The 27,952-nt window shown below is 47.4% G+C and overlaps 1 protein-coding gene across 5 annotated transcripts in view, besides 2 other annotated features; it reads right to left on the bottom strand.

Annotated features, from left to right (window-relative positions):
- DOP1B (DOP1 leucine zipper like protein B) overlaps positions 1–27,952 on the bottom strand; it is a 137,451-nt gene that overhangs the window by 41,585 nt on the left and 67,914 nt on the right. For all 5 annotated transcript variants that reach the window (XR_937581.4, XR_007067795.1, NM_001320714.2 and 2 more), the window contains 11 exons: positions 27,023–27,125; positions 24,813–25,004; positions 21,556–22,240; positions 19,615–19,886; positions 15,276–15,428; positions 13,989–14,089; positions 12,735–12,925; positions 6,013–7,642; positions 5,062–5,173; positions 4,122–4,310; positions 1,406–1,528 (listed from right to left, as the gene is read on the bottom strand). Coding sequence is in view for 3 of the 5 variants with exons in the window: in NM_001320714.2 (NP_001307643.1) it covers positions 1,406–1,528; positions 4,122–4,310; positions 5,062–5,173; positions 6,013–7,642; positions 12,735–12,925; positions 13,989–14,089; positions 15,276–15,428; positions 19,615–19,886; positions 21,556–22,240; positions 24,813–25,004; positions 27,023–27,125 (3,751 nt within the window). In the remaining 2 variants the exon portion in view is untranslated. The remainder of the gene's footprint in view (positions 1–1,405; positions 1,529–4,121; positions 4,311–5,061; positions 5,174–6,012; positions 7,643–12,734; positions 12,926–13,988; positions 14,090–15,275; positions 15,429–19,614; positions 19,887–21,555; positions 22,241–24,812; positions 25,005–27,022; positions 27,126–27,952) is intronic.
- Positions 6,430–6,931: an enhancer, noted in NCBI's record as "H3K4me1 hESC enhancer chr21:37618057-37618558 (GRCh37/hg19 assembly coordinates)". NCBI's record gives its function as "activates a minimal SCP1, AML or CMV promoter by ChIP-STARR-seq in primed H9 embryonic stem cells {active_cell/tissue: H9 hESC(primed)}" and the evidence as "EXISTENCE:reporter gene assay evidence [ECO:0000049][PMID:30033119]".
- Positions 12,252–12,751: an enhancer, noted in NCBI's record as "H3K4me1 hESC enhancer chr21:37612237-37612736 (GRCh37/hg19 assembly coordinates)". NCBI's record gives its function as "activates a minimal SCP1, AML or CMV promoter by ChIP-STARR-seq in primed H9 embryonic stem cells {active_cell/tissue: H9 hESC(primed)}" and the evidence as "EXISTENCE:reporter gene assay evidence [ECO:0000049][PMID:30033119]".

Below are 27,952 nucleotides of genomic sequence, written 5' to 3'. Positions count from 1 at the left end.
TTACAAAAATTAGCTGAGTGTGGTGGCATGCACCTGTAATCCCAGCTGCTCAGGAGGCTGAGGCAGGAGAATTGCTTAAACTCAGGAGGCAGAGGTTGCAGTGAGCTGAGATCGCTCTGTCTCAATAGAAAAAAAAAAAAAGAAATTATCTTTGGGCATAGAAATATGATTGGTGATTTCAATTTTCTTTATTATCATGGACAAATGTAATTTCCTTTTTTTTTTTTTTTTTTACATGAAGTGTCACTCTGTTGTCTAGGCTAGAGTGCAGTGGCACAATCGTAGCTCACTGCAGCTTCATATTCCTGGCTTCAAGTGATCCTTCCATCTCAGCCTCCCAAGTAACTAGGACTATAGGCGCATACCACCATGCCCAGCTAACAAGTGTGATTTCTACACATTAAAAAAGCAATAAGATGGTACTACAAATAAAAAAAGGCCCACAGTGCTAGGATAAGTGACCATTTCTTAAGCCAAATGGGTGGCATGTTCTTAGGTAAAGTTTTTTTTTTTTAGATAGGGACTTGCTTTGTCGCCCAGGCTGGAATGCAGTGGCACAATCATGGCTCACTGCACCCTCCACCTCCCAGGCTCAAGTGATCCTCCCACCTTAGCCTCTTGAGTAGCTGGGACTATAGGTGCACAACACCACGCCCGGCTAATTTTTTGCCATATTGCCCAGGCTGGTCTCAAACTCCTAGACTCAAGCGATCTGCCCGTCTTGGCCTCCCAAAGTGTTGAGATTATAGGTGTGAGCCACTGTGCCATTTTTATTCTTTAAAAATGTTCATGTTATATATACTCTTATATGTATTTTAGATTTAAAAAGATTAAACACAAGTACTATATACTCATTACAGAAAAATTAGAAAACAGAAGTCAGGTGCGCTCTTCCCTACCTGCCCAATACACATTCTACTTGTACTGAGACACAGCTATATTATCTCATGCATTTCAAATGATGAAATCGGCAAGGTGTGGTGGCTCACGCCTGTAATCCCAGCACTTTAGGAGGCCGAGGTGGGTGGGTCACCTGAGGTCAGGAGTTCAAGACCAGCCTGGCCAACATGGCGAAACCCTGTCTCTACTAAAAAATACAAAAATTAGCCGGGTGTGGTGGCGGGCACCTATAATTCCAGTTACATGGGAGGCTGAGGCAGGAGAATGACTTGAACCCAGGAGGTGGAGGGTGCAGTGAGCCAAGATCGCACCACTGCACTCCAGCCTGGGTGAAAAGAGAGAGACTCCATCTCAAATAGATAAAGAAATAAAATAAGATAAAATGATTAAATCAACTCAATAGTTTCCCATGCTGGCTTCCAATGTCACCTTTGATTCCACATGATTCTGTGGTATTTCTTTGTCACAGTAAGTTTAACCACTCCTGTAACTTTTTAAACTTTACCTTCATCTTACTGTGACGCTGGGCTTTCTTTCTGCTCCACACTGCCGCAACAGCCGCTGTCAACTGAACCCCAAGATGGGCCGTCAAGGGGTTTAAGAAGTCTAAAATTTTTTGTCTTATGGTCTAGAAAATAGGGAAAAAAAAGTTACTGCAGAGTAATATTGGGGCTATGGCATCATATACATTGAACCACCACTGCTGTCCATACCGAGAGCAAGGACCCTGTCATGTTTGTGCCCAATGTTGTGCTGAGGTGCTTCCCTGATGGGTGGATCCCAGCAATGGGAGGAATCAAACCCTTTCCGCAAGGAGCTAGATGTGTGATGTTGGCGTGTCATGCCGGCGGGGGGAAGGGGCAGTGAGCAGCCAAGGTGGAGAGACGGATGGCCAGCTCGATTGGCCAGGAGCATCTCGGGAGACGATGAATATCACCCTTGCTGCTGTGAGCACAGTGGGGGTCTTGCAGGAAGCCGGGCAAGGCTTTGCAGCACTGCTTCCATCTGGAAACCCCACAGCCTCAGCCTGACTCCATCTGCTGCGGAAGGGCTTATATTCATTAGGAAAGTTGTTGCTCAATTTCCAGAAATAAGCACCATTTAACTAATTTTATCAGGTAATCAATTTAAACCTGTAACATGGTCCTGATGTCACTCAGCACCCTCTGTTTTGCTACTTATGAATTTCTCTGTGTTCCCGCCACGTTTCTCGCTCTGTAAATCCTACCGCTCTCTCAGCCTGCAGTGCCCACCGTAGTTAAATCCTCTCCGCCTGGGGCCTCAGCTAAGCCATGCCGCCTCAGGAACCCCAGGTCAGGCCAGGCCTCCTGTTCACACACTCTCAGGAAACCCTGTGTTTCTTTGAAGCCCTGCTCACATCGTTATTACACTGCCAGTTAATGTCTGCCTCTGCCACAGGGGCAGGGACTTCATCTCTCTTGTCCACCGGTAAAGCAAGAGAGCCTGGTGCGTGGCAGCAGGCACAAAATGTCTGTCGAAGAGACGGATTTACCCAGCGCTTCCTGTGACAACCGCCCATGTTTATTTCACATTAGATACAACTGAGCCAGCAATGGAGCTGTCCCCTCTTTTCCACCATGGCTTCTGCTCTAGAGGGACTAATGTGGGGTCCCGCTCCCCGGCCCTGGGTTCCTCAGGGAGGGCTAGGAGTTAAGTGCCTAATGAGCATCGGCCTTTATCGTAATTACTCTTTCCCTCAACCCATGAGGACAGGATGCTAGCCACAGCCTGGTTTAACAGACGAGGAAATGGAGGCTCAGAGAGGCTGAGTGCTACAGGAAGCTCCCCTAAAAAAGGTTTAGAAAATCTTTTTTTCTGAGTGAGAAAAAAGGTTTTCTGAATCTTTTTAAGAGCAGGTTCTTATAGGAGCTTGAAATACAGAATTCCCTTGGCACCCTAGGAACCGACAGAATGTCTGGAGGCCAACAACGCACCGTGGTACCTAAATGCAGGATGGCAAGGCTCATCCCTGCGGCCACATCTGGCACCTGGGGGCTCTCAACTGATGTCAGATGTGGCAGATAATTCTGAGATGCCACACACAGTAACACAGATGGTGAGCGACCGAGTCCTGCGCCTACAGCCTTCTGAGGCAGACACTGAAAACCAAAGACTAAACTATAATATAAATATTCACAGTTGTGCGTTTTTGGTTTAAGAACTCAAAGGCACCCTGACATTCCACTCTGATGGGGCCATGTTTGACAGGCACCGCTAAAAGCAGAACAGAGATGAGCTGTCTCGCAGAAATGCTTTAGAGACTCAAGGCTGGGGTCTCTAGATCATTTAGAGGTGAGGATCTAGGTATCCCCGCTTTGAACCACTAGAGACTATTGTTTTTGAGACAGGGTCTCACTCTGTCACCCAGGCTTGAGTGCACTGGCGTGATCTCAGCTCACTTCAACCTCCACCTCCCAGGCTCAAGCAATCCTCTTGCCTCGGCCTCCTGAGTAGCTCGGACTACAGGTGCCTGCCACCATACCCAGCTAATTTTTGTATTTTTTGTAGAGATGGGGTTTCGCCATGTTGGCCAGGCTGGTCTTGAACTCCTGAGCTCAAGCAATCCACCCCATCTTGGCCTCCCAAAGTGCTGGGATTACAAGCATGAGCCACCGCGCCTAGCTCTAGAGACTTTATTTATTTTAATTATTTTTATTTTTTTTTGAGATGGGGTTTTGCTCTGTTGCCCAGGCTGGGGTGCAGTGGTGCAATCTTGGCTCACTGCAACCTCCGCCTCCCAGGTTCCAGCGATTTTCCTGCCTCGGCCTCCTGAGTAGCTGGGATTACAGACACGTGCTACCACACCTGGCTAATTTTTGTATTTTTAGTAGAGATGGGGTTTCACCATGTTGGCCAGGCTGTTCTTGAACTCCTGACCTCAGGAGATCCATCCGCCTTGGCCTCCCAAAGTGCTGGGATTACAGGTGTGAGCTACCATGCCCGGCCAAGACTTTATTTTTAACTACAAAATAAGGTGAATGGAAAATAAGAAGAAAACAGGCTGAAACCACTCAGACTCCTCCATTTCAGGTATAGGAAACTTACTGATAACAAATGAACTAGAGATTTCTACTTCTGATCTCTGACTTGGGTTTCATTGAGCACATCTGTTTATCATGCACACTTTCCTATACACATTTATTTTGGGTGGAACAATACAAGACCAAGTAAATGACAGAACTACAGAGACATCCTCTTACTTTGGTGGTTTTAAAGTAAACGGAAGAGGATCCCTTCGTGGCCCCTAGGAGATCGACAGGTCTCTTTTGAGTCTCCTCCTTTCTGAGAACATTCCAGAGAAGGGCCATGGTGTTAACAGTTCGAGGCAGCTCTTCCAAAATGGCATTTCTGGCATTCCTCAAGTTGGCAGGATCACCTGCAGCCATGGTCTAAAAATTAAAATGAATACATGAGGCAGGCTGTGTCTGTGGAATGGTTTTTCTTCCCACGAGGGCAGCAGTGCTAGCGGGATTAGGTCTGGGCTGTTGGACTCTCTTCTAAGCAACTCATACATGTGGTGGTCTGGGAGCAATAAGCTTCTCTGTGCATTTCAACCCATGGTTCTCTTTCACAGAGACAGCTGTGAGTCTGATGTTCTAAATTACAAACTTTTCAACCATTCAACCAAAGTGTTAGATGTATTCTAAGACTTAATCCCAGGGTATTCTACAGGGTAGAATAACCAACAGCTAAAATGTCTGCCTACTCAGATTTCATGAACACCATGATAGCAAGTAAAAAATACATGGAAAAAGATGACTATAAGCCTAAAATCAAACAAGTGGCTTTATAAGTTATCTCACAGGCTACTGATGGAACAATGGGCAAAGGGCTGGCACAGGGAGTGCCAGCAGGAAGAAAACTATGTTTGCATGGCTGACATACATACTTATGCATTTGCGTTAATTATATACATGCATTTGCATATGCATTTGCGTAGGCACTTGCATTGCTAACACACATGCATTTGCATACGTGTGTACGTGACTTATGTAATATTTGCATTCACATTTGCATCACCTCCATACGCATATTAGTTACAGACATTACATACATACGTTACTTATTTGAAACAGTCATAGCCCAAAGACAAAACAATACATGAAAATTGCCTTGAACTCAGGAAAAAAAAAAATTTACCTTTTTGTTTTGGTTGGCTTGTTCCAAAAGACAAAAATGACTAATGGTCGTTAGACCTTCTAGAAGGGTGAGTGGATAATCTGGAGAAATGTTTTCCCTCTTGGAGGTTGTGCTGTGGTGAAGAAAAGAGAAACTGGTTTGAGAATTTTTAAAGAATGAGGCCATAAGGGTTTCTAATCCTATATATAAACACAGGAACTAGGGAGAGATCACCATCCCAAATAAACTGGAGCTCTCGTCATAGAATATCATTATAATAATGTTAACCATCCTTTGTGTGATTTTACATTCATATAGTCACTTTGGAAAAATGGTTTCAATGTTTTAGAATTTCTGTGAAGATGATTCACATTTTTATTTCTGTTTTGCAAAAATAGTAGAGAGTAGCTGACATGCCCTGCAACACTGAGCTAGACTGGGTACCTGTGCGGATTTGAAATAAAGGATCAGGGCTGGGCGCAGTGGCTCCCTCTAGCACCCCAGCACTTTGGGAGGCCGAGGCAGGGGGATTGCCTGAGCTCAGGAGTTCAAGACCAGCATGGGCAACACGGTGAAACCCCGTGTCTACTAAAATACAAAAAATTAGCCAGATGTGGCGGTAGGCACCTGTAATCCCAGCTACTCGGGAGGCTGAGACAGGAGAATTGTTTGAACCTGGGAGGCAGAGGTTGCAGTGAGCTGAGGTCATGCCACTGCACTCCAGCCTGGGTGACAGAGACTCTGTCTCAAAAATAACATAACATAACATAACATAACATAACATAACATAACATAACATAACATAATGGATCAGAACATTTAGTTGCTTGTTACCCCTCTTGATAATGCTAAACAGGCTTCTCATTGGGATGAAATTATCCTCCAACCGACATCCACATCCGTGGCAAAACAGTCATTCGTTATAAAAACCATCACTAAAGCAATAAAGATGTCACAAGGAGCGTAACGCACCTGACAGAGAGCTTCACAGATTCGCTTTCATACTGCTTGACCAAGTCATCCAAGTTTTTGCAAATCTGGACAACAAAGGGTGTCACCGTCCAGCCCAGGGACTTTCCGAAGTAGGGCAAGGAATGCGTGACCAAGCTCACCCAGGCCGGATGCATGCCGTAACCGTAGGCGGGCTGCAGACCCCTCACCACCGCAGAGACCAGAAGACCCTGGGAGGTGAGGGGGTGGGGCTGCACGTACTGCAGGGCGCTGATGGCCTGCTGGAAGTTCAGGGCTCTCTGCCACTCCCGGGACAGGTCGGGCTGGTTTTCCGCCTCCTCATGGGCCCGACCCAGGTGGTGTTCCAAGACAATCAGCACCTGCAGCAGCTTCAGCAGCTCAATCTGCAGCGGGTGCTCACTCCAGATCTGGTCCTGACCCAAGTTAATGAGACTCTCCTCAAAGAGGCTGTCCTCTGGCAGGGCCCTGCCGTGGTGGGCGGTGGCCAGCCCGTAGCGCTTCTGGCTCGTGTACATGGACGCCGACAGGGAGAGCAGGACAAACTCCTGAACTTTGCACCTCTGCAGCAAGCTGTGGATGAACTCCACGTTCTTCCCTTCCGAAGACTTGGCCACTGAGACCAGCTGCATCATTATCCTGATCAAAACCTCGACACTTTTGACCTGCACGTCCCGGTTGCCGAGAATGTCTCGGTGCGAGACCTTCAAATAGCAAGGGTAGTAGGAGCGCAGGAAGCTCAGGCAGAGGTAGGTGAGCAGCTCCAGGAGCAGAGAGTGGGGGCACACGTTGGGGACCTGGGTCTGGAGCTTTCCGTAGAAACTCTGGCCAATGAGGGCCTCCTGGTGGCGAGCGAGGAGGTTGGAGATGAGGTTGAGGTGCGCGGTGGAGCTGGTATCCATGCTAGTCCTGGACACAGCCTCGATGAATTCCTTAGGGTTGGTTTTGAGCACAGCCTCCAGCACCGAGAAGGCATAGAGGACCCGCCGAGAGTCGTAGGGCTGCAGGTAGAGCAGGATGTGCTTGAACAAGGCCTCGACGGCCTCCTGCCTTTCCCGCTGCTGCTTTAGCAGCCTGGATGTGGTGAGGGCCTGGAGCTCCAAGTCCGCCTCCTCGTCGCTGGAGAACGACTCAGAAGCCTGCGTCTTGTCCGAGTCCACCCGCACCAGGCTTAACTTGGCCCCAGCCTTGAAGCTTTCTGACTGGAAGGCCGCCAGCAGGGCCGAGCGCTTGGGGTACGCCCTGCCCCCCATGGGGATGGGTGCACAGCAGTTCTCTTCGTTGCTCAGCTCCTGCAGGTCGTGGGAAGGGGAGGAGAAGGAGGACGTGTTCTCGCTGTCCGTGTGGCAGGAGCTTGTATCTGCAGACTCGGTGTGCTCGCTGCTGTCCGGGGCGCCGTGGGCCGTCCTGTCTGGAAGCTCCACGTAGTAGGGCAGCTCTTCCTCGCTCAGCTCGCCTCGCAGCGGGTACTTCTCGGGCTCCTTCTCCACTTCGGCCCAAATGGCTTCACGGTCCACTGTGGTGAACTGGCTCAGAGGCAGGTGCTCTTCAGAGCCGCTCTCCTGAGGCTCGGGCACTGCGCATGCCTCTCTGAAAGAGGTTTTCTTCCTGTTAAACCAACGGTGCAAGTCATCTGAAAATTACAAGATGACAAATGACTTTAGACAGAAGGGTCAGCTATGATACATTAGCTGTAGGGCGGTCTTTGTCTTAAAGCCAGACAGAAAGATCAATATTCCTAAAATTCTCACATGAAACACCACCACCAGAGTCCGGTTTACATTACAGACAAAAGTAGACAAAGGAAGGTGGATAGGTTTTACAGAATGTTCAAGGATGGGATCATTTAGTTACATTGTTATAGTAAACTTAAGTATTTTAATTTTTTGGAGGGGAGCAATTTTTAAAAATACGTATTATTTTTTCCTAGGAATTCTCTTTCAAGAAATGTCTCCTGGCCGGGTGCAGTGGCTCACACCTGTAATCCCAGCAATTGGGAGGCCAAGGCAGGTAGATCACCGGAGGTCAGGAGTTCGAGATCAGCCTCGCCAAAATGGTGAAACCCTGTCTCTACTAAAAATACAAAAAGTTAGCTGGGCGTGGTGGCAGGTGCTTGTAATTCCAGCTACTCGGGAGGCTGAGGCAGGAGAATCATTTGAACCCAGGAGGCAGAGGTTGCAGTGAGCTGAAATTGTGCCACTGAACTCCAGCCTGGGCAACAAGAGCGAAACTCCGTCTTAAAAAACAAAAAAACAGAAATGTATCCTGCAGAAATGTCAGCAGAAGACTTTCAAAGCCATAAGGATGTGGATATTCACCGAAATGTCACATGTGTATAAAGACAAACTGGAGGCTGGGTGTGGTGGCATGGTGGCTCATGCCTGTAATCCCAGCACTTTGGGAGGCCTAGGAGGACAGATCACCTGAGGTCAGGAGTTTGAGACCAGCCTGGCCAACATGGAGAAACTCCATCTACTAAAAATACAAAAATTAGCTGGACGTGGTGGTGCGTGCCCATAGTCCCAGCGTGGGAGACTGAGACAGGAGAATCACTTGAACCTGAAAGATGGAAGTTGCAGTGAGCTGAAATCATGCCACTACACTCCAGACTAGGCAACAGAGTGAGACTCTGTCTCAAAAAAAAAAAAAAAAAAAAAAAAAGGAAAGGAAAAATCAGGCCAGGTACAGTGAATTATGCCTGTAATCCCAATACTGTGGGAGACCAAGGTAGGAGGATTGTTTGGGAGGCCAAGGCCAAGGTAGGAGGATTGCTTGATCCCAAGAGTTCCAAACCAGCCTGGGCAACATGGAAAAACTCCATCTCTAGAAAAAATTTAAAAGCTATCTAGGTATGGTGACACACACTTGTAGTCCTAGCTACTCGGGAGGCTGAGGCAGGAGGGTCTCTTGAGCCCAGGAGTTCGAGACTGCAGTGAGCTATGATGGTGTCACTGCACTCCAGCTTGGGCAACAGAGTGAGACCCCTGTCTCTAAAAAGAAAGGAAAAAAAAAATCAAGCAGCAGAAGAGTATTATGTAGAATGAGCCCAGTTAGGAGAGAGTATGTATAATACACAGCCACTAGGAAAGTCTGGGAGACTACCTGCAAGCCATTAACAATCCCTAGTTCTATCAACTAGCATTACAAAGGACTTCCACTTAGGTTTTTATGTCCTCATTATTTCCATTTTAAAACTAACCATGTTAGTACTTCTATAATCAGAAAACGTATGACACTTTAAAATATTGAAGTCTTTTTTAGGAGAAGTCAAATAGGCCACTGACCACTGCCTATTTAAAAAAAAAAAAAAAAGAAGAAAAGGAAAAAAAAATTAGTGAGTCAAAAGTCTTTGATATTGCCAAACATTTTAAATAAGCAGTGTTCAATAAATCTATGCCATGAGCCGGGCATGGTAGCTCATACCTGTAATTCTAGCACTTTGGGAGGCTGAGGTGGGCGGATCACTTGGGGCCAGGAGTTCAAGACCAGTCTGGCCAACATGGCGAAACCCCATCTCTACTAAAAATACAAAAATTAGCTGGGCGTGGCGGCGCGTGCCTGTAATGCCAGCTACTCAGGAGTCTGAGGCAGGCGAATGGCTTGAACCTGGAAGGCAGAGGTTGCAATGAACCAAGATTGCGCCACTGCACTCCAGCCTGGGCCACAGAGTGAGACTCCATCTCAAAAAAAAAAAAAAAAGAAAAGAAGAAATCTGTCATTCTCATAAGGTTTTTAGGATGATCAAACAAGATAAAGGCACACAAAAGAGCTTTAAAAAAACTCTATGCCATGGACATTAAGCAAGATCAAGAAATGAAGAAGAATCAGACATCAGAAATTGATGAGCTGCTTGAAGTGCATAGCAGTATTTTAAAAATAGATTTCTACAGGATTACAGAAATAGGGTGGGGTAAGCAGGACACTTATCATTTTTTTCAGAGAAAGAAAATGGCAGAGCAAAGATGTTCTCTCCTATTCGGAGGTAGCAGACCATTTCTGTGGTCAGCAGGAAACACAGATTAGAGGAAGCAGCAAGGTAGTGCTGGGGAACTTTTAAAGCCCAAGGAAGGCCAGGCGTAGTAGCTCATGCCTGTAATCCCAGCATTTTGGAAGGTTGAGGCGGGTGGAACACTTGAGCTCAGGAGTTCAAGACCAGTCTAGCCAACATGGCGAAACACCCATCTCTACTAAAAATACCAAAACTAAGGCTGGGCATGGTGGCTCACACCTGTAATCCCAGCGCTTTGGGAGGTAGAGGCGCATGGATCACTTGAGGTCAGGAGTTAGAGACCTAACCTGGCTAACATGGTGAAACCCCGTCTCCACTAAAAATACAAAAAATTAGTTGGCTGTGGTGGCCAGCGCCTGTAATCCCAGCTACTTGGGAGGCTGAGGCAGGAGAATTGCTTGAACCTGGGAGGCAAAGACTGCAGTGACTTGGGATCACACCACTGTACTCCAGCCTGGGCAACAGAGTGAGACTCTTCTTCAATAATAATAATAATAATAATAATAATAATAATAATAATGCCCAAGGAACTGTGGAGATAGAGCTTTCCTCTTAAAACAGAAAGAAAAAGAAATACTAAAAAATGTAGCTGCCATGAATAGTAGCCAAACTTTTAAGAAGGTTCTTTGTTTACACTTCTTTCAGTTTTACTTTCTTACAATGTGGAACAATAAAATGTTTCCTATTTGATAGGGCAGCCAGCTTTTCCCCTAAAGGAAAACCAGAGGTTAGAGGTTTAGGCCAGGAGCCTTATAAAGACAGGAAACCATTTCACACACCTCTGCTTACTTAGCTAATGGGTTGCTTTTCTCTGTAAGATAAGATTGAGATAGCCAGGCGTGGTGGCTCATGCCTGTAATCCCAGCAATTTAGGAGGCTGAGGCGGGAGGATCATTTGGGGTCAGGAGTTCGAGACCAGCCTGACCAACATGGTGAAACCCTGTCTCTACTAAAAATACAAAAAAAAAAAAAAAAAAAGAAAGAAAGAAAAAAAAATTAGCCAGGCATGGTGGTGCATGCCTGTAATCCCAGCTACTCAGGAGGCTGAGGCAGGAGAATCACTTGAACCCGGGAGGCGGAGGTTGCAGTGAGCCGAGATTGCACCACTGCACTCCAGCTTGGGTGACAGAGCGAGACTCTGTCTCAAAAAAAAAAAAAAAAAAAAAAAGATTAAGATAAATACAGGATAAGAAAAAACAAGAACTGGCTAAATACAGACATTTGTCCTTTTTTTCCTTCACCCTTGATCTGGAGAGGGGGGTGTCTGGAGCTTATTCCTTTGGTTTCAACTTCTCGAACAGCGTTAGCTTATAACTGTCTTTGAAGTGAGCTTGCTAGGCAGAGGAAAACTTGTTCTTCTTTTCTTTCTTTTTTTTTTGAGATGGAGTCTCACTCTTTTGCCCAGGCTGGAGTGCAGTGGTGTGATCTTGGCTCACTGCAACCTCTGCCTCCTGGGTTCATGCCATTCTCCTGCCTCAGCCTCCCGAGTAGCTGGGATTACAGGCCCCTGCCACCATGCCTGGCTTATTTTTTGTATTTTTAGTAGAGATGGGGTTTCACCGTGTTAGCCAGGATGGTCTCGATCTCTTGACCTCACGATCTGCCTGCCTCAGCCTCCCAAAGTGCTGGGATTACAGGGGTGAGCCACCGTCCAGCCCTTCTTTACTTTTTAACCCTTGTCTTGCCACATTCTGGGCCTTGGTTTTTACTTCTTAGACTAGGTCACTACAACCTTCTTATAGCCTTGTCTGTTACTTTTCTTGGAATGAATGAATGCAGTACTTCTTCTTATTATTATTTTTAAATTTCTGCCTCAAGCTAAACAAACTCACTCAAAGTTTGCAAACCATCCCTTAGAAAATTGTGAAGTCATTAAATACAGCTATTGTAGGAAGTAATGTTAGTTCATAAAATGCATTAGATATTAATCACTGAAGTTTAATTGACTCATCAGGCTTATTTAGTTTTTCTTTTCTTTCCTAATTTCTACCTATATTCTTTTATGTTTGTGTTAAAGATGCCTCTGGAAGTTCTCTGAACTGAAAGGTTTATTTCTTCTTCATTTCTGATAATCTGATTAACAAGATTTTATAGTCTAAAAGAATCTTAGAGCACAGATAGAAAATAAACCACTTACCTTGTAGTTGAAGGTTCACAAATAAGTTATTTTATTTATTTATTTATGTATTTATGAATGACAGTCTCTCTCTGTCACCCAGGCTGGAGTGCAGTGGCACCATCTCAGCTCACTGCAATCTCTACCTCCCGGGTTCAAGAGATTCTCCTGCCTCAGCCTCCTGAGTAGCTGGGATTACAGGCATGTACCACCACGCCCGGCTAATTTTTGTATTTTTAGTAGAGACGGGGTTTCACCATATTGGCCAGGCTGGTCTTGAACTCCTGACCTCAGGTGATCCACCTGCCTCAGCCTCCCAAAATGCTAGGATTACAGTTGTGAGCCACCGTGCCTGGCCAACTTTCCTTTTTTAATAACAAAACAATCTGGTTTTTCAGTGAAAACAGCAAACCCACTCCCTAATAGTTCTAAATGCTAGATCACTAGGTCCTTAAATTGCCGAAGTCCTCACAATTTACAAAGTACCATTTGCATCTAACAAAACCCCCTAGTGGGCCTCAGTCTCTCAGCTATCACTGCTGAGGTCCAGTCCCCCCACCCATTCCTCCCTCACCCTCGGGTCCTGTGCAGGCTGCTCACCGGCCGAGTTCTCCTGCTTGAGGCAGTGGATGGAGGTTCTCTGGGTTTTTGGCTGCAGCAGCAGCAGGAGCACGGGTTCGAGGATGCGAGCCACGTCCCCGAGGGAGAGCGCACGCACCAGCCAGCCCTGGGCTGCCGCACCGATGGCACCATCCGTGCAGGCCAGGCTGTCCAGCACGACAAACAAGGACCTGCAGTGGGAAACACACCAGTGAGTTCACTCGCAGCCACCCCTGTGCGCCAGGCACCGTGGCAGACACTGGGCATAGGGCGTCACCCAACACAGGTACCCTAGGACCTCCACCCAAGCTGGACTTCCAGACCCAAGTAGATGAGCACAATGGGGACTCAACTTTGGTTTCGCGTTGGAATCACCAGTGGGAGCATTTAAAATCCCAATGCTCAGGCCTCACCCCAAATGGGTTATATATCTGAGTCTGGGCCTGGGCCTCAGGCATCAGAATCAGCTGGTGTCTCTAAGGCCGAGTGCCTGGCCTCACACCTAGAGTTTCAGAGGCACTCGGGAAAAACAATGTGGAATACAATGGGCTGCAATCAAGTTCACCTCTTAAGCATGAGACAGTGATGGGACAAGCACACACACCAAGTATGGTCACTGCTCCAGGGGAGGTCTAGGCCATCTGACCTCCCTGCAAAGTCCCCTCATAGGGGCATGCCGTAAAAGCTGCACAGGTGATCCCGGGGCATGCCAGGATTCCTCACATCCCAACCAAATTAAGAAAATTCCTAACATGTGTTCACATGTGTCTGGCCTAAATTCACTTAGGGGTTTATGGGAACCACTGGCTGTGCTCGGAGGGGTCATGTGCAGGGGTCAGCTTTTCTTTGTTTGAGATGGAGTTTCGCTCTTGTCACCCAGGCTGGAGTGGAGTGGCGCAGTCTCGGCTCACTGCAACCTTTGCCTCCCGGGTTCAAGTGATTCTACTGCCTCACCATCCCAAGTAGCTGGGATTACAGGTGCCCACCACCACGCCCAGCTAATTTTTGTATTTTTGGTAGAGATGGGGTTTCACCATGTTGGCCAGGCTGGTCTCTAACTCCAGGCCTCAAGTGATCTGCCCGCCTCGGCTTCCCAAAGGGCTGGGATTACAGGCGTGAGCCACCACACCCGGTCATATGGGTTCATGTTTTCAACTGCACGCTCCTCTCCCTCCCCAGCCCCACACGTTGGGCAGGCACCTCTGTGGAGTTTCCTCGTGAGTTAACGGTAGATCATAACGAAGGCCGCCTCACCTATCAAAGGAGCGATTGTGAGATGTTACTCGACTGCCTTGGATCTCTCTTGTCAGATGCCAGATCACGGAAAATCTAAACAGAGCTTCCAGCCTTGTTCCCTTGATGAGGAGATACATGGGAGTGAGGAACTTGGTTTTGTAACTGACCACTGTCTTCAGTCACCATAAACCCCATTTAAACAATAGATCAAAGACTTCAGCAGAACTGACAGCAACCACAGCAAAGACGCTGCATTCTCCTTTGACTGATTCGGCCAGAAGGAAAAGGAGAACCTGCATCCTCTCTCTCTGATTGTTCACTTTAACACAGCGGCACATTCAGAACTCAGTATTAGAGTCCAGGGTCACCCCTGTGGTCTGCAGCCAAAGGAAAACACAAAGGAGCATGGCTTCCTTGCAAGTGTCAGGCCCAAGTGTCTTAAAGAACGAGGAGACACAACAGACTGGAAAGGAGACCCAGGACGATAAATTCTCAATAAAATATATTCTTTTAAAAAAATTGGTTTATTATTATTTTTATTTATTTATTTTTTGAGACGGAGTCTTGCTCTGTCACCCAAACCAGAGTGCAGTGGCGCGATCTCGGCTCACCGCAACCTCCGCCTCCCAGATTCAAGTGGTTCTCCTGCCTCAGCCTCCCGAGTAGCTGGGATTACAGGCATGTGCCACCATGCCCGGCTAATATTGTATTTTTAGTACAGACAGGGTTTCACCATGTTGCCCAGGCTGGTCTCAAACTCCTGACCTCAGGTGATCCGCCTGCTTTGGCCTCCCAAAGTGCTGGAATTACAGGCGTGAGTCACTGCACCTGGCCTTATTTATTTATTTATTTTTGGTAGAGATGGATCTCACTATGTTGCCCAGGCAGGTCTTGAACTCCTGGCCTCAATTTCTCCCACCTCAGCCTCCCAAAATGCTGGGATTACGGGTGTGAGCCACCACGCCCTGCTTCAATAAGTTCTTAAAGGGACAATAAATTCCCTACAACTGCCTATTTTGCCAACACCTGCAGAAGCCCTGCAAGTCCTTCCAGCAAGTTTGGGCAGGTTTCCCTGGTGAGCCTCAATATGGTCACAAACCACATTTCCAGGGCTGTAAAAAGAATGGCTCATGCTTCTAGTGGCCTTCCAGTACTGAAATCCTAGAACACCTCTGCTTATTTTATTAATCACGATGTCCACTCAGCCCCAGAAAGACTTCGACCGAATGGATGTCAGTTGGCTAAGGGCACGTACAGCAGGGGCCGGGGTGCTGCAGGATGGAGGTGGCGGCCAGAAAGGCTCACCTTGTCAGGGTCCAGGAGGGCATGGCAGATGATGTCCTCGCAGATGTTGGCCGTAGGGGCCAGGCAGTGCAGCCGGTAGAACAATTCTACGCAGGTGACGTGATGCTCCCGGGTCTCTTTGTTCAGCTGATTCCAAAGCACACGAGCCACCCTCTGGGACAAGGAAAAGGCAGGCGGTGGGGGACCAGGTCAACACAGGCAACATCCGCTCACATCCTCACTCAGTCAGTCCCAGCCCCGACATACTGGATCTCACCTATACTTGCCATGTGAGAATCCTCCATGCTCAGAGACAAATCACCAACAAATAAAGCAAGAAACCTACCAAAGGCTGGGAGCGGTGGCTCATGCCTGTAATCCCAGCACTTTGGGAGGTCGAAGTGGGGCAGATCACCTGAGGTCAGGAGTTCAAGACCAGCCTGGTCAACATGGCAAAACCCCAACTCTACTAAAAATACAAAAATTAGCCAGGTGTGGCGGCGGGCACCTGTAATCCCAGCTACTTGGGAGGGTGAGGCAGGAGAATCACTTGAATCCAGGAGGCGGAGGTTGCAGTGAGCTGAGATCCTGAGATCATGCAACTACACTCCAGCCTGGGCAATAGAGTGAGACTCTGTCTCAAAAAAAAAAAAAAAAAGAAAAAGAAAAAGAAAAAAGAAAAAAAGGAAAAACCCACCAAAGTCATCCAGGCAGCAGGCAATGTTATAGGAGGTCAAACCTGGAGGTTTCTGGCCGACTAAGAACACTGCAGCTCTTGCCTCAACCTCAACATTACTTTCAGAAAGAGAATTAACTGGAAACTGGACCAAAGGGGTTGAAGCATTCTTTCAACAGGCAGGTGCCGAGCAGGCACTGGGGAATGCACAGATGTACCCTCTGGGGAGTTTGGTGAATTTACAGTGGTTGTCAAGATCACTCATTCTGGGGTTCAGCTCCACAGCACTTGGTCACCTCTGGGGTCTGCTCGAATTGGTTACCACGCAGCATGGATAAAGAGCCACGCCTACCAGCTTTAATTCCACTAACTTGACTCTTCCCTTTTCCCTGCACAACGCTGTGGCAGGTGCCTGCCTCACTTTCAAAACACTATTATACCCCCAAATCGTGTCCTCCATCTTCCCAGCCCTGAACTGAGCTCATTAAACATGCATGGTCTGCAAAGGGCTACAGCCCCTTGCCAAGTGGCAGGGAGCAGGAGCCAGTGTGCCTGCCCCAACAAGGGTGAGACCCAGAAGGAGGGCTGGTCCCCACTTCCGGGAGGGAAATTTCTAAATTTCTAAAGACATTCTTATACTTCATAGACTATATGAAGTTTATATCTCATAGACTGGAGTATTTTAGGCATAACTTAGATCAAATAACTTCTTTGGCCCATTTATTTCTACTCAACAAAACCGTCTTTCTCTGCATAGATCAAGTTAACCACTGACTGGCTCAAACTCCTAACCATTATTTTGTTACTTTTTCTCTAAGGGAAAGTGATTTCCAACAATCACATTACAATTGAATTCTGATATATAACTTTTTGACTACGTAGACCGCCCCCCCCCCGACTTCCTTGCTGTCACTATGGCAAATATATATGCAAGAGACTCCCTTCCGGAAGGTTTAAAAAATTTTTTTGCAAGGTTTTTGAGAGTTGATGCCGATCACAAATCCATACCTACTCCCTCATATATATTTTTTTGAGGCAGGGTCTCACTATGTGCCCCAGGCTGGAGTGCAGTGGCACGATGTCAACTCACTGCAACCTCTGCCTCCTTGGCTCAAGTGATCCTCCCACCTCAGCCTCCCAAGTAGCTGGGACTACAGGTGTGTGCCACCATGCCAGGTTAATTTTTGTATTTTTTTTTTTTAGACATGGGATTTTGCCGTGTTGGCCAGACTGGTCTCGAACTCCTGAGCTCAAGCAAGCAGCCCTCAGCCTCCTAAAGTGCTGGATGCTGGGATTACAGGCGTGAGCCACCGAGCCGGGCCTTCCTTCACATGTTTAAACCTTACTCTACTCCTCTGTTCTGGGTGTTGTCTTAGTTATCTGAAATCTGCCAACACTACCTGATAAGAAAGGTCAGGGCACCCTTGGGCTATCTGACCTTTTCTTGTTTGCACTGTGGGAAGCAGGAACTCTGGTATGTGAGCTGTTCCCGCAGGATTAAAAAAAGGCTGAAAGATCAGACAACAGCCCTGTCTGGAGTCTGAGAATTGGGGGCACGTCCTGGCTATGGGTAAGGTTGCTGTGTCTCTAGTTCCAGCATCTGCAACAGGGACAGGCACTAGCTGCCGCTGTCCTCAACTCTCAAGAACTGTACAGTACATAAAAGTGTGCTCCAAGGAATAAATCTTGGTACTCTACTGCACAGTAGGGTGACTACTGCTAACAATAATGCATTGTGTATTTCAAATTGCTAGAAGAGAGGGTTCTGAATGTTTTCACAACAAAGAAATGATAAATGCTTAAGGTGATGGGTATGCTAATTACCATGATTTGATCATCATACAATGTATAAATGTGTCAGAATATCAAATTGTACCCATATATATATACAATATTACATGTCAATAAAAAAAGTATGCTCTTGGCCGGGTGCGGTGGCTCACGCCTGTAAGGCACTTTGGGAGGCTGAGGTGGGAGGATCACTTGAAGTCAGGAGTTTGAGACCAGCGTGGCCAATATGGTAAAACCCCGTCTCTACTAAAAATACAAAAATTAGCCAGGTGTGAGGGCGCACATCTGTAGTCCCAGCTACCAGGGAAGCTGAGGCAGGGGAATCGCTTGAATTCAGGAGGCAGAGGCCAAGATCATGCCATTGCACTCCAGCCTGGGCAACAGAGCAAGACTCTGTCTCAAGGAAAAAAAAAAAAGAAAAGTATGCTCTAGTGCCAGGCAAATGGTAAGTACTTGAATATGTACTACATGAAAATGAAAGTAAAAATCAAGGCTTCAGTAAGAACTTGGAAAAGCTTCCCTCACTGCCCCAAAATAAAAGGAATGTATTTAATGCTGCCACTTTTATTCTATGAGTACCTTTCCAAAGATTCATGATCTCAATTCTTTCTTCTTTTTTCTCCCCTGTGCCTATATATAGTGTAAATATGCCAAATTTTCTGATCTCTGATCTATGTAGGGCCAAGATGACACTTGCTTAATCACTGCTGCTTATAGCGGTTCCAGTCCTGGTTTCAAGTTCTGTCTATTCAAGATCTAATGTGACTCAACTCTAGCAGGAAGAAGAAATGTGGTACAAAAGTCAATAAGCAGCTGGGCACGGTGGCTCACACCTATAATTCTGGCACTTTGGGAGGCTGAGGCGGGCCTCCCAAACTCCTGAGGTCAGGAGTTTGAGACCAGCCTGGCCAATGCGGTAAAACCCCATCTCTACTAAAAATACAAAAATTAGCCAGGTGTGGTGGCAGGTGCCTGTAGTCCCAGCTACTCGGGAGGCTGAGGCAGGAGAATTGCTTGAACATGGGAGGCAGAGGTTGCAGTGAGCCGAGATCGTGCCACTGCACTCCAGCCTGGGTGACAGAGCGGGACTCCGTCTCAACAACAACAACAAAAAAAGTCAATGAGCAATTAAGTAAAAGCTCCCCCAGGACCTGACACCGTAGATGGTGTCCCACATGGAACCAAAGCTGAGCGGTGTGAGGAGTTCCACAGACAGACCCTCTCCCAAGCAACACAACCATAACTGGTGAAAATTATTTTAAAACCAACAACAACCAACCATTTAGAGTCTGGAAATTATCCAAAGGACATTCAGGAAATAAAGAAACATTTATTCCGGAAAACCTACGACATTTCGGTCAAAGCAGCAAGAGTCATGGCACTTGAGCCATGACCTGCTCATCATCTCCTTCCTTCCCCAGCTTAGCTCCATGGAAACGTCACTATCCACTCTGGTGCATGTGGCCAAGCAAAAGGGTGCTCTCTTTCCCCAGCTCCCAGTCAAGGGCTTTTGCACCTCCTGGGAGGGGCAGGCCACCAGCACGTCACCTTCCCACCCCTCTGCTGGATGTGGCAGAGGCTAAATCCAGGTGAGTGCAGTGGAGGAGTCATGGGCTCCCTGCCTCCACCCAGACCCCACTCCCAGGCAGGGGTTCCACTCAGTCCTGGCAGGCCCAGAATACTGGGGCCCCAGTTGCTCTCACTGTAGCTTTCCTGGAGGGTGAAAGTTACATGCTGGGAGAGGAAGACCAAAGGCTACTGCCTCTGCCCAGTGCCCTATAGAATATCACTCTCAGAGAAGTGGGCCACTGCCCCCATCCCCAGCAATACGGTTCTGAGTTTTGCTCAGGGGGAGAAGGAGGCCATAAGAAGAGTGTTCCCAGTGGGAAATACCTGATAGAAATCTGTTTTCTCTGCAATGACTTTCAATATCCCTGGAGCAATGGGAGGAACCGTCACCATCTGCAGCTTGCCAAAAAAAGGGTTGTGTCCAGAGCTCTTATAGCGTTTCATCTTGTCTTCAATGACAAGCGCCAGGGACTGGGAATGGTTTATCACTTCCAGCAGAGTGGAAATGGCCACGTTCTGGAGGTAGCAGTCAGTCACACAGCAGCAAATAGTCATGAGGGACTTCAGCCAAGATGGAAAACTGGAATCACCGGCTCCTGAAAGGAAGCCAGCCGGAGAGGCAGAAACAAGCAGAACCACGTGAGAATGGGTCCCCAGTCTGCAGATTCTACAGCACCCTAGATCTGGGAAGTTACCTGAGAAATCCACCTGGACAGCAGTGCGCTAACCTCCCGCTGGTGAGACTTATTTGGAAATAAGGTCCTTACAGAGGTAATCAAATTAAGATGAGGTTGTTAGGGTGGGCCCTAATCCAATATGACTGGTGTCCTTGTAAGAGGGACATGTCAAGGGAAGACAGGACATACAGAGGACACCCTGTGAAGACAAAGGCAGAGACGGGACTGATGCAGCTGCAAGGTGAGGAGCCCTCCAAGGGTTGCCGGCCAGCACCAGAAGCTGAAGAGGCCAAAAAGTATTCCATCCAGGGTCTCAGAGGAGGAGTATGGCTCTGCTGACACCTTGATCTTGGACTTCTGGCTTCCAGAACTATGAGACAAATTTCTCAGTTTATGGTACTTTGTTAGAGGAGCCCTAGCAAACCAATATATAAAATATTGGCCAGGCACGGTGGCTCATGCCTGTAATCCCAGCACTTTGGGAGGCCAAGGCGGGCAGATCATATGAGGCCAGGAGTTTGAGACCAGCCTGGCCAACATGGTGAAACCCCATCTCTACTAAAAATATGAAAATTAGGGGGCCAGGTGCAGTGGCTCACGCCTGTAACCCCAGCACTTTGGGAGGCCTAGGCGGGTGGATCGCGAGGTCAAAAGATTGAGACCATCCTGGCCAACATGGTGAAACCCTGTCTCTACTAAAAATACAAAAATTAGCTGGGTGTGGTGGCGTGTGCCTGTAACCCCAGATACTTGGGAGGCTGAGGTAGGAGAATCACTTGAACCCGGGAGGCGGAGGCTGTAGTGAGCCAAGATCGCGCCACTGCACTCCAGCCTGGCGACAGAGCAAGACGCTGTCTCAAAAAAAAAAAAAAAAAAAATTAGCTGGGCGTAGTGGCACGTGCCTGTAGTCCCAGCTACTGGGGAAGCTGAGGCAGAAGAATCACTTGAACCCAGGAGGCGGAGGTTGCAGTGAGCTGAGTTGGTGTCACCACACTCCAGCCTGGGCAACAGAGCCAGACCCTGTCTCAAAAAAAAAAAAAAAACAAAAAAACCCAACACAAAAAAAACTTTATCAACAGGCATCATGAAATAGTCTATTTACTATCACTGAATGCCACTCATGTTCTAGGTCTTCTGATGGGCTGTGCTGGACACCCAGGGTTTAAAAACATAGGCCCCACCCTTACCACTTTGCCATGTGGTGAGACACAAGTCAAAAATGTACTAATTACAAATGAGGAAGGGAACAAATGAGGCCAATAGCACCTTCTTGGCTTACACAATTTGAGCTAGTCTTTAAATATAGGTTGAGAATCTCTAATCTGAAAATTCCAAATCCAAAACCTGAAACCTTATTAGCACTGACATGATGCTCGAAGGAAACAGTCACTGGAGCTCTTGGATTTTGGATTTCTGGATTAGGAATGCTGAATCGGTAAGTGTAAGGCAAATATTCCAAAAATCTGAAAAAAGTCCGAAATCCAAAATACATTTGGTCCCTAGCATTGTGGATAGGGGATATTCCACCCACGTCAATCGCCTCATCGTATGATTCCCAAAGAGGGACTTCGGCAGGGCTGCCTCTCACCTGGCAGCTGGAAGAGCGTTGCACAGAGCTGCTCGGTCTCTTCCTCGGACAGGTAGACAGGGAAAGTGGCACAATCCAGCAGCAGGTGGCAGGCGGCGGCAAAGGCCTCCCTGCGTTCCTCCCTGGAACCCCCCAGGTCAATGACCACCTTCTCAACATCCCATTCTCCCCCGTTTTTCCTGGCAGGGCTGCTGGGCGAAGACGATGGTGACTCTGAACTTTTTGTCTTGAATGGAGACCCTCGTGCTGTGAACAAGTCTGACAGCATCTGCTTGAACTGAGGCACAGTGATGGGCTTGGGCTCCCAAGAGTTCTTCCTGCTGGAATCATTGGCTGCCAGGCTCTGCGTCCCATCCCTGTCCCTCTTCCCTGCAGGCTCCTCGGACTTGCTTTCTTCTCCTGACGCTGTCAGCTGTACTCCAAAAATGTTCTTGCTGGCAAAGTTGGCGATTAGCTCTTGGATGCAAAGAAACGTCCTCTGCATGCTCCCGCCCTTCTTCCAAACGTCGTCCCTTTCCAGAGAAACTCGAGGAACCCTCAAGTGCTCAGAGAGCTCCGGTGACGAGGCACTGAGCCCGATCCCACTGTCCTCAGACTTCAGAGGGGGAAACGAAGCATCTTCGTCACCGGGAATCACTGCCTTTGTTTCCAAAATTATTTTGCCGTTTTCACCTTTTACTGGACTCTGTAAAAAATAAAAAGATGTGAATTGTGCATCTCTTAACACCAAGCTATTTAAGTATCAGTTGAAATCATGAATGTATTTCAATTCTGTTTTTCAAAATCATCACTCTCCAGACTAGAGAATCCCTGTGTTAAGTGTATAATGAAATTTAGGAGGCACCCAAAGCAGGAGAAGGAGAGCGGTGGGTAGCAAAGAGGAGGCTGGTACACCCACATGCTCTCTGGGGAGGCTGGCTTTTGGGCCTATTTTTCTTGTGTTTTTGTCTAAATATATAACCCCTTTAGAGTTCAAAAAAGTTGTTTAAGAATTGTTTCTGCCAGGCGTGGTGGCTCAAGCCTGTAATCCCAGCACTTAGGGAGGCTGAGGCGGGCGGATCACCTGCCACAATTCTCTGGACAACAGAGCGAGAACTGTTTCCGACAAATTAACAAATATGAATGAGGAAACTGAGCTGAGGGTAAAATAAAGGTATGAAGAAATAAAATAAGGCCAGGTGTGGTGGCTCATGCCTGTAATCCCAGCACTTTGGGAGGATGAGGTGGGTGGATCTCCTGAGGTCAGGAGCTCAAGACCAGCATGGCCAACATGGTGAAACCCCATCTCTACTAAAAATACAAAAAATTAGCCAGGCATGGTGGTGGGTGCCTGTAATCCCAGCTACTTGGGAGGCTGAGGCATGAGAATCGCTTGAACCCATGAGGTGGAGGTTGCAGTGAGCCAAAATCATGCCACTGCACTCCAGCCTGGGCGACAGAGAGAGACTCTGTCTCAAAAAAAAAAAAAAAAAAGGTAAAGCAAGTCAGAGAATAGTGTACGTTATGGGTTGAACGGTGTCCCCCAAAAATAGGTTGAAGTCCTAACTCCCAATACCTGTGAATGTGACCTTAATTTGAAAATAGAGTCTCTGCAGATGATCCAATTAAGATGAGATCATTAGAGTGGGCCCAAATCCAGTAGGACTGGATTTATAAAAAGGAGAGATCTGGACACAGAGACAGACATGCACACAGGTTGACAGCCAAGTGAACATAAAGGCCGAGACTGGGCTGATGCCTGGACAAGCCGAGGAATGCTGAATATTGCCAGCAAACCACCAGAAGCTCGGGGGAGGCATGAGACAGACTCTTTTTCCCCAGTGCACTCAGGAGGTGCCAACCTTGCTGACACCTTCGTGTCAGGCCCTGGCCTTCAAAACCATGAGAAAACAAGTGTCTGTTGTGGAAGCCACCCAGTCTGTGGTACTTTATTATGGCAGTCCCAGCAAACTAATCCAGTACCTCATCTCGCTTATATTCGAAATAACCAAAATCACATGCCACAAACACACACATAAAACAGTGCAGGGCTAGTTATAACTAGCCCATTAACTGTAGTTACATAGTTATTAACTGTATCTAACCATTAACTGCAGTTACAGAGCAGGCAAGTAGCATGAGAATGGGTGAAACAAAGGGTGCTAAACTTAAAAATTTTTTTTTGTAGAGACAGGGTCTTGCTCTCACTCAGGCTGGAGTGCAGCCGTGCAATCATGGCTCACTGCAGCCTCAACCTGTTGGGCTCAAGCGATCCTCCCACCTCAGCCTCCTGAGTAGATGGAACTACAGGTGAACACCACCATGCCTTTTTATTTTATTTTATTTTATTTTATTTTATTTTATTTTATTTTATTTTATTTATTTATTTTGAGACAGAGTCTCACTTTTTCGCCTAGGCTGGACTGCAGTGGCACTATCTCGGCTCACTGCAAGGTCTGCCTCCTGGGTTCACGCTGTTCTCCTGCCTCAGCCTCCTGAGTAGCTGGGACTACAGGCGCCCGCCACTGCACCCGGCTAATTTTTTGTATTTTTAGTAGAGGCAGGGTTTCACCATGTTAGCCAGGATGGTCTTGATCTCCTGACCTCATGATCTGCCCGCCTCGGCCTCCCAAAGTGCTGGGATTACAGGCGTGAGCCACCGCGCCCAGCCCTTATTTTTATTTATTTTTTTTTTTGAAACGGAGTCTTGCTCTGTTGCCCAGGCTTAAGTGCAGTGGCGTGATGGCTCACTGCAACCTCCGCCTCCCAGGTTCAAGAGATTCTCCAGCCTCAGCCTCCCAAGTAACTGGGACTACAGGCATGTGCCACCATGCCTGGCTAATTTTTGTATTTTTAATAGAGATGGGGTTTTGCCATGTTGGTTGGGCTGGTCTTGAATTCCTGACTTCAGGAGATCCACCCGCCTCAGCTTGCCAAAGTGCTGGGATTACAGGTGTGGGCCACTGTACTTGGCCTAATTTTTATTTTGTAGAGAGATGAAGGCTTGCTATGTTGCCCAGGCTGGTCTCGAACTCCTGGGCTCAAGCAATCCTCCTGCCCCAGTCTCCGAAAGTGTTGGTATTACAGGTGTGAGCCATTGTACCATGCCAGGTGCTAAAACCTTTTAAAGTGAGGGTTTTACAAGCATATTTGACATATCACCTGGGTATCTTCTCATCTTTATTCCTATCCTAACCAACCCTAAAGACTTTCTACTCCCAGGAAGGCATAAGCTGCTTTTAGCCCCCAGAACCATTTCTGCCCCTCAGAGTACACACCGAGGTTCCGCTGGTGGACTCCGTGTCGAGGTAGGAAGGAGGCATCTGGACTTTGCTGAGCACCTTGAAACACGTCTTCAAGGCATGCGTGAGTTCAGGTAAACTTAAGGCCTCCATGTCCTCAGCAAGAGGCTGCACCAGGCAGCCGAGCACCTGAGGGAGATACTGGGTTTGCACCTCAGAGTAAAGTTCCTGTGAAATAAACGTGTAGGTTAACCCCACAATGTTGGTTCACAATCAGAAAAACAATGCATCTCAAAATGGCATCTAATTCAATTTTTTAGGGCATAAATTTCACACTAATTTTCTTTCTTTCTTTCTTTCTTTTTTTTTGACAGAGTCTTGCTCTGTAGCCCAGGCTGGAGTGCAGTGTCGCGATCTCGGCTCACTGCAAGCTCAGCCTCCCGGGTTCACGCCATTCTCCTGCCTCAGCCTCCCGAGCAGCTGGGACTACAGGTGCCCACCACCACGCCCGGCTAATTTTTTGTATGTTTAGTAGAGATGGGGTTTCACCGTGTTAGCCAGGATGGTCTCGATCTCCTGACTTTGTGATCCATCCACCTTGGCCTCCCAAAGTGCTGGAATTACAGGCGTGAGCCACCGTGCCTGACCCACATTAATTTTCTTTTTTATTTTATTTTATTTTATTTATTTATTTATTTATTTTTTTGAGATGAAGTCTCACTCTGTCACCCAGGCTGGAGTGCAGTGGTGTGATCTCGGCTCACTGCAAGCTCTGCCTCCCAGGTTCACACCATTCTCCTGCCTCAGCCTCCTGAGTAGCTGGGACTACAGGCGCCCGCCACCACACCCGGCTAACTTTTTGTATTTTTTTTAGTAGAGACGGGGTTTCACCGTGTTAGCCAGGGTGGTCTCAATCTCCTGACCTTGTGATCCGCCCACCTCGGCCTCCCAAAGTGCTGGGATTACAGACGTGAGCCACCATACCATATTAATTTTCAAATCAGAAAACAAAAGAAGACTAGGCGTAGTGGCTCATGCCTATAATCCCAGCCAGCACCTTGGGAGGCTGATGCAGGGAGATTGCTTGAGCTCAGGAGTTCGAGACCAGCCTGGGCAACACAGTGAGACCCCATCTCTACAAAAAATACTAAAACTATCCAGATGTGGTGGCACATGCCTGTGGTCTCAGACACTTGGGAGGCTGAGGTGGGAGGATTGCTTGAGCCTGGGAGGATGAGGCTACAGTGAGCTGAGATCATGCCACTGCACTCCAGCCTGGGTGACAGTGAGGCTCTATCTCAAAAAAGAGAAAAGAGGATGGGCATGGTGGCTCACATCTGTAATCCCAGCACTTTGGGAGGCCGAGGCTGGTGGATCGCCTGAGGTCAGGAGTTCAAGACCAGCTTGGCCAATATGGTGAAACCCTGTCTCTACTAAAAATACAAAAAATTAGCTGGGCGTAGTGGCAGGTGCCTGTAATCCCAGCTACCTGGGAGGCCGAGGCAGGAGAATCACTTGAACCCCAGAGGCGGAGGTTGCAGTGAGCCGAGATCACACCATTGCACTCCAGCCTGGACAACAAGAGCAAAACTCTGTCACAGGAGAAAAAAAAAAAAAGAGAGAGAGAGACAGAGAAAAGAAAAGAACATTTCTATTGTTTTTGTTTGAGACTGGATCATGTTATGCTGTCCAGGCTGGTCTCAAATTCCTGGGCTCAAGCAATGCTCCAATCTCAGCCTCCTGAGTAGCTGGGAATTACGAGCGCATACCACAGAGCTAGGCTCGGTATTTCAATTTGATCTAGACAAATCAAGGATGTTACTCCTCTCCTTGCAAGTGGCTTTACACTTTCTAATAAAAAATAAAATTGGCACGTTTCTACATTAAGGAAATTAGTTTCCTTTGAGAAAATTAGCCAACAGCACAATTTTAACTAGGAAATGTATTGACTCTTTCCCTAAAGTAACTGTAGTACGGGAATGATACCCAGTTCTTCAGCTGGTTGACCTAACTTCAGCTTTGCCCACTTACAACTGGCCCAAAAGTTATAGCCCCTTTTAAATAAGACATTAAAAATTTAAGAGATTACATCCAGCTATATCTTTTATGCCAAAACAAACATCAAAACAGTGTTGCATATTTATGTAAAACATTTTCAGTAATGTGAGGTTGATAAAGCAGGCCATCACCACCAGTAAGAATGTAAATAATAGCAGGCGTTGAGATGTCCCTTCCCCAGCACTCACCAAAGGAATGACATCCAGCAGGAAGACCAGGAGGGCGCAGAGCTCCGAGACCGTGGGGGGAGGGCTGACGCTGTTCCTCACGCTGTAACGCTGCTTCACTGGTCTATAAATCACAGCAAAGAAAAAATCCATTCTTTGGCCAGGCATGGAGGCTCACACCTATAATCTTAACACTTTGGGAGGCCGAGATGGGTGGACTGTCTGAGCTCAGGAGTCTGAGACCAGCCTGGGCAACATGGTGAAACCCCATCTCTACTAAAGTACAAAAAAATTAGCCAGGTGTGGTGGCCCACGCCTGTAGTCCTAGCTACTTGGGAGGCTGAGGCATGAGAATTACTTGAACCCGGGAGGCAGAGGTTGCAGTGAGACAAGATCGCACCACTGCACTCCAGCCTGGGTGACAGAGCAAGACTCTGTCTCAGAAAAAAAAAAAAAATCAATTCTTCTTCCTGCGGTAAGTCCAAGCATTTCTTACAATTTCCAGTAACGTTATTCTACTTCAAACATAATGGAAGGCAGCTTTTGTAGTTCTCATAACTAAATTTTGGTGACTAAAAGTATCTAACATGTAGAAGTGTCAATAAGTGTCCTGAATCTGTTGGTGTCCAAACAGATTCCCTCTGACTTGAACTCTACCAATTCAGGTGTCTCCCAGGAGACCTGGAGTACCATCGACAGATGTAATCCCAAGTCCCCAGTCCAAGCCCAAAAGCACGATCCAAGGGAACGAGGCTGGGCTGGAGAACACCACAGTCCACATGGCTGTTCACCCTGCTGTAGGAGTGGCCTGGGACTACTCCTCTCCAAGTAATTCCAGGAGTTTATCAGCACCTGAGTTGCCTAGAAAGTTTCAGCTTCTGTAGAGAAGTGTAACCCCACCAATCAACTATTGTTAGTTGCTTATCTTATACTGAAATTCAAGACTTCTTT

This window comes from Homo sapiens, chromosome 21 (genome assembly GCF_000001405.40).
Source record: "Homo sapiens chromosome 21, GRCh38.p14 Primary Assembly".
Taxonomy (NCBI): Eukaryota; Metazoa; Chordata; class Mammalia; order Primates; family Hominidae; genus Homo; species Homo sapiens.
This window is presented reverse-complemented; position numbering and strand designations above follow the sequence as displayed.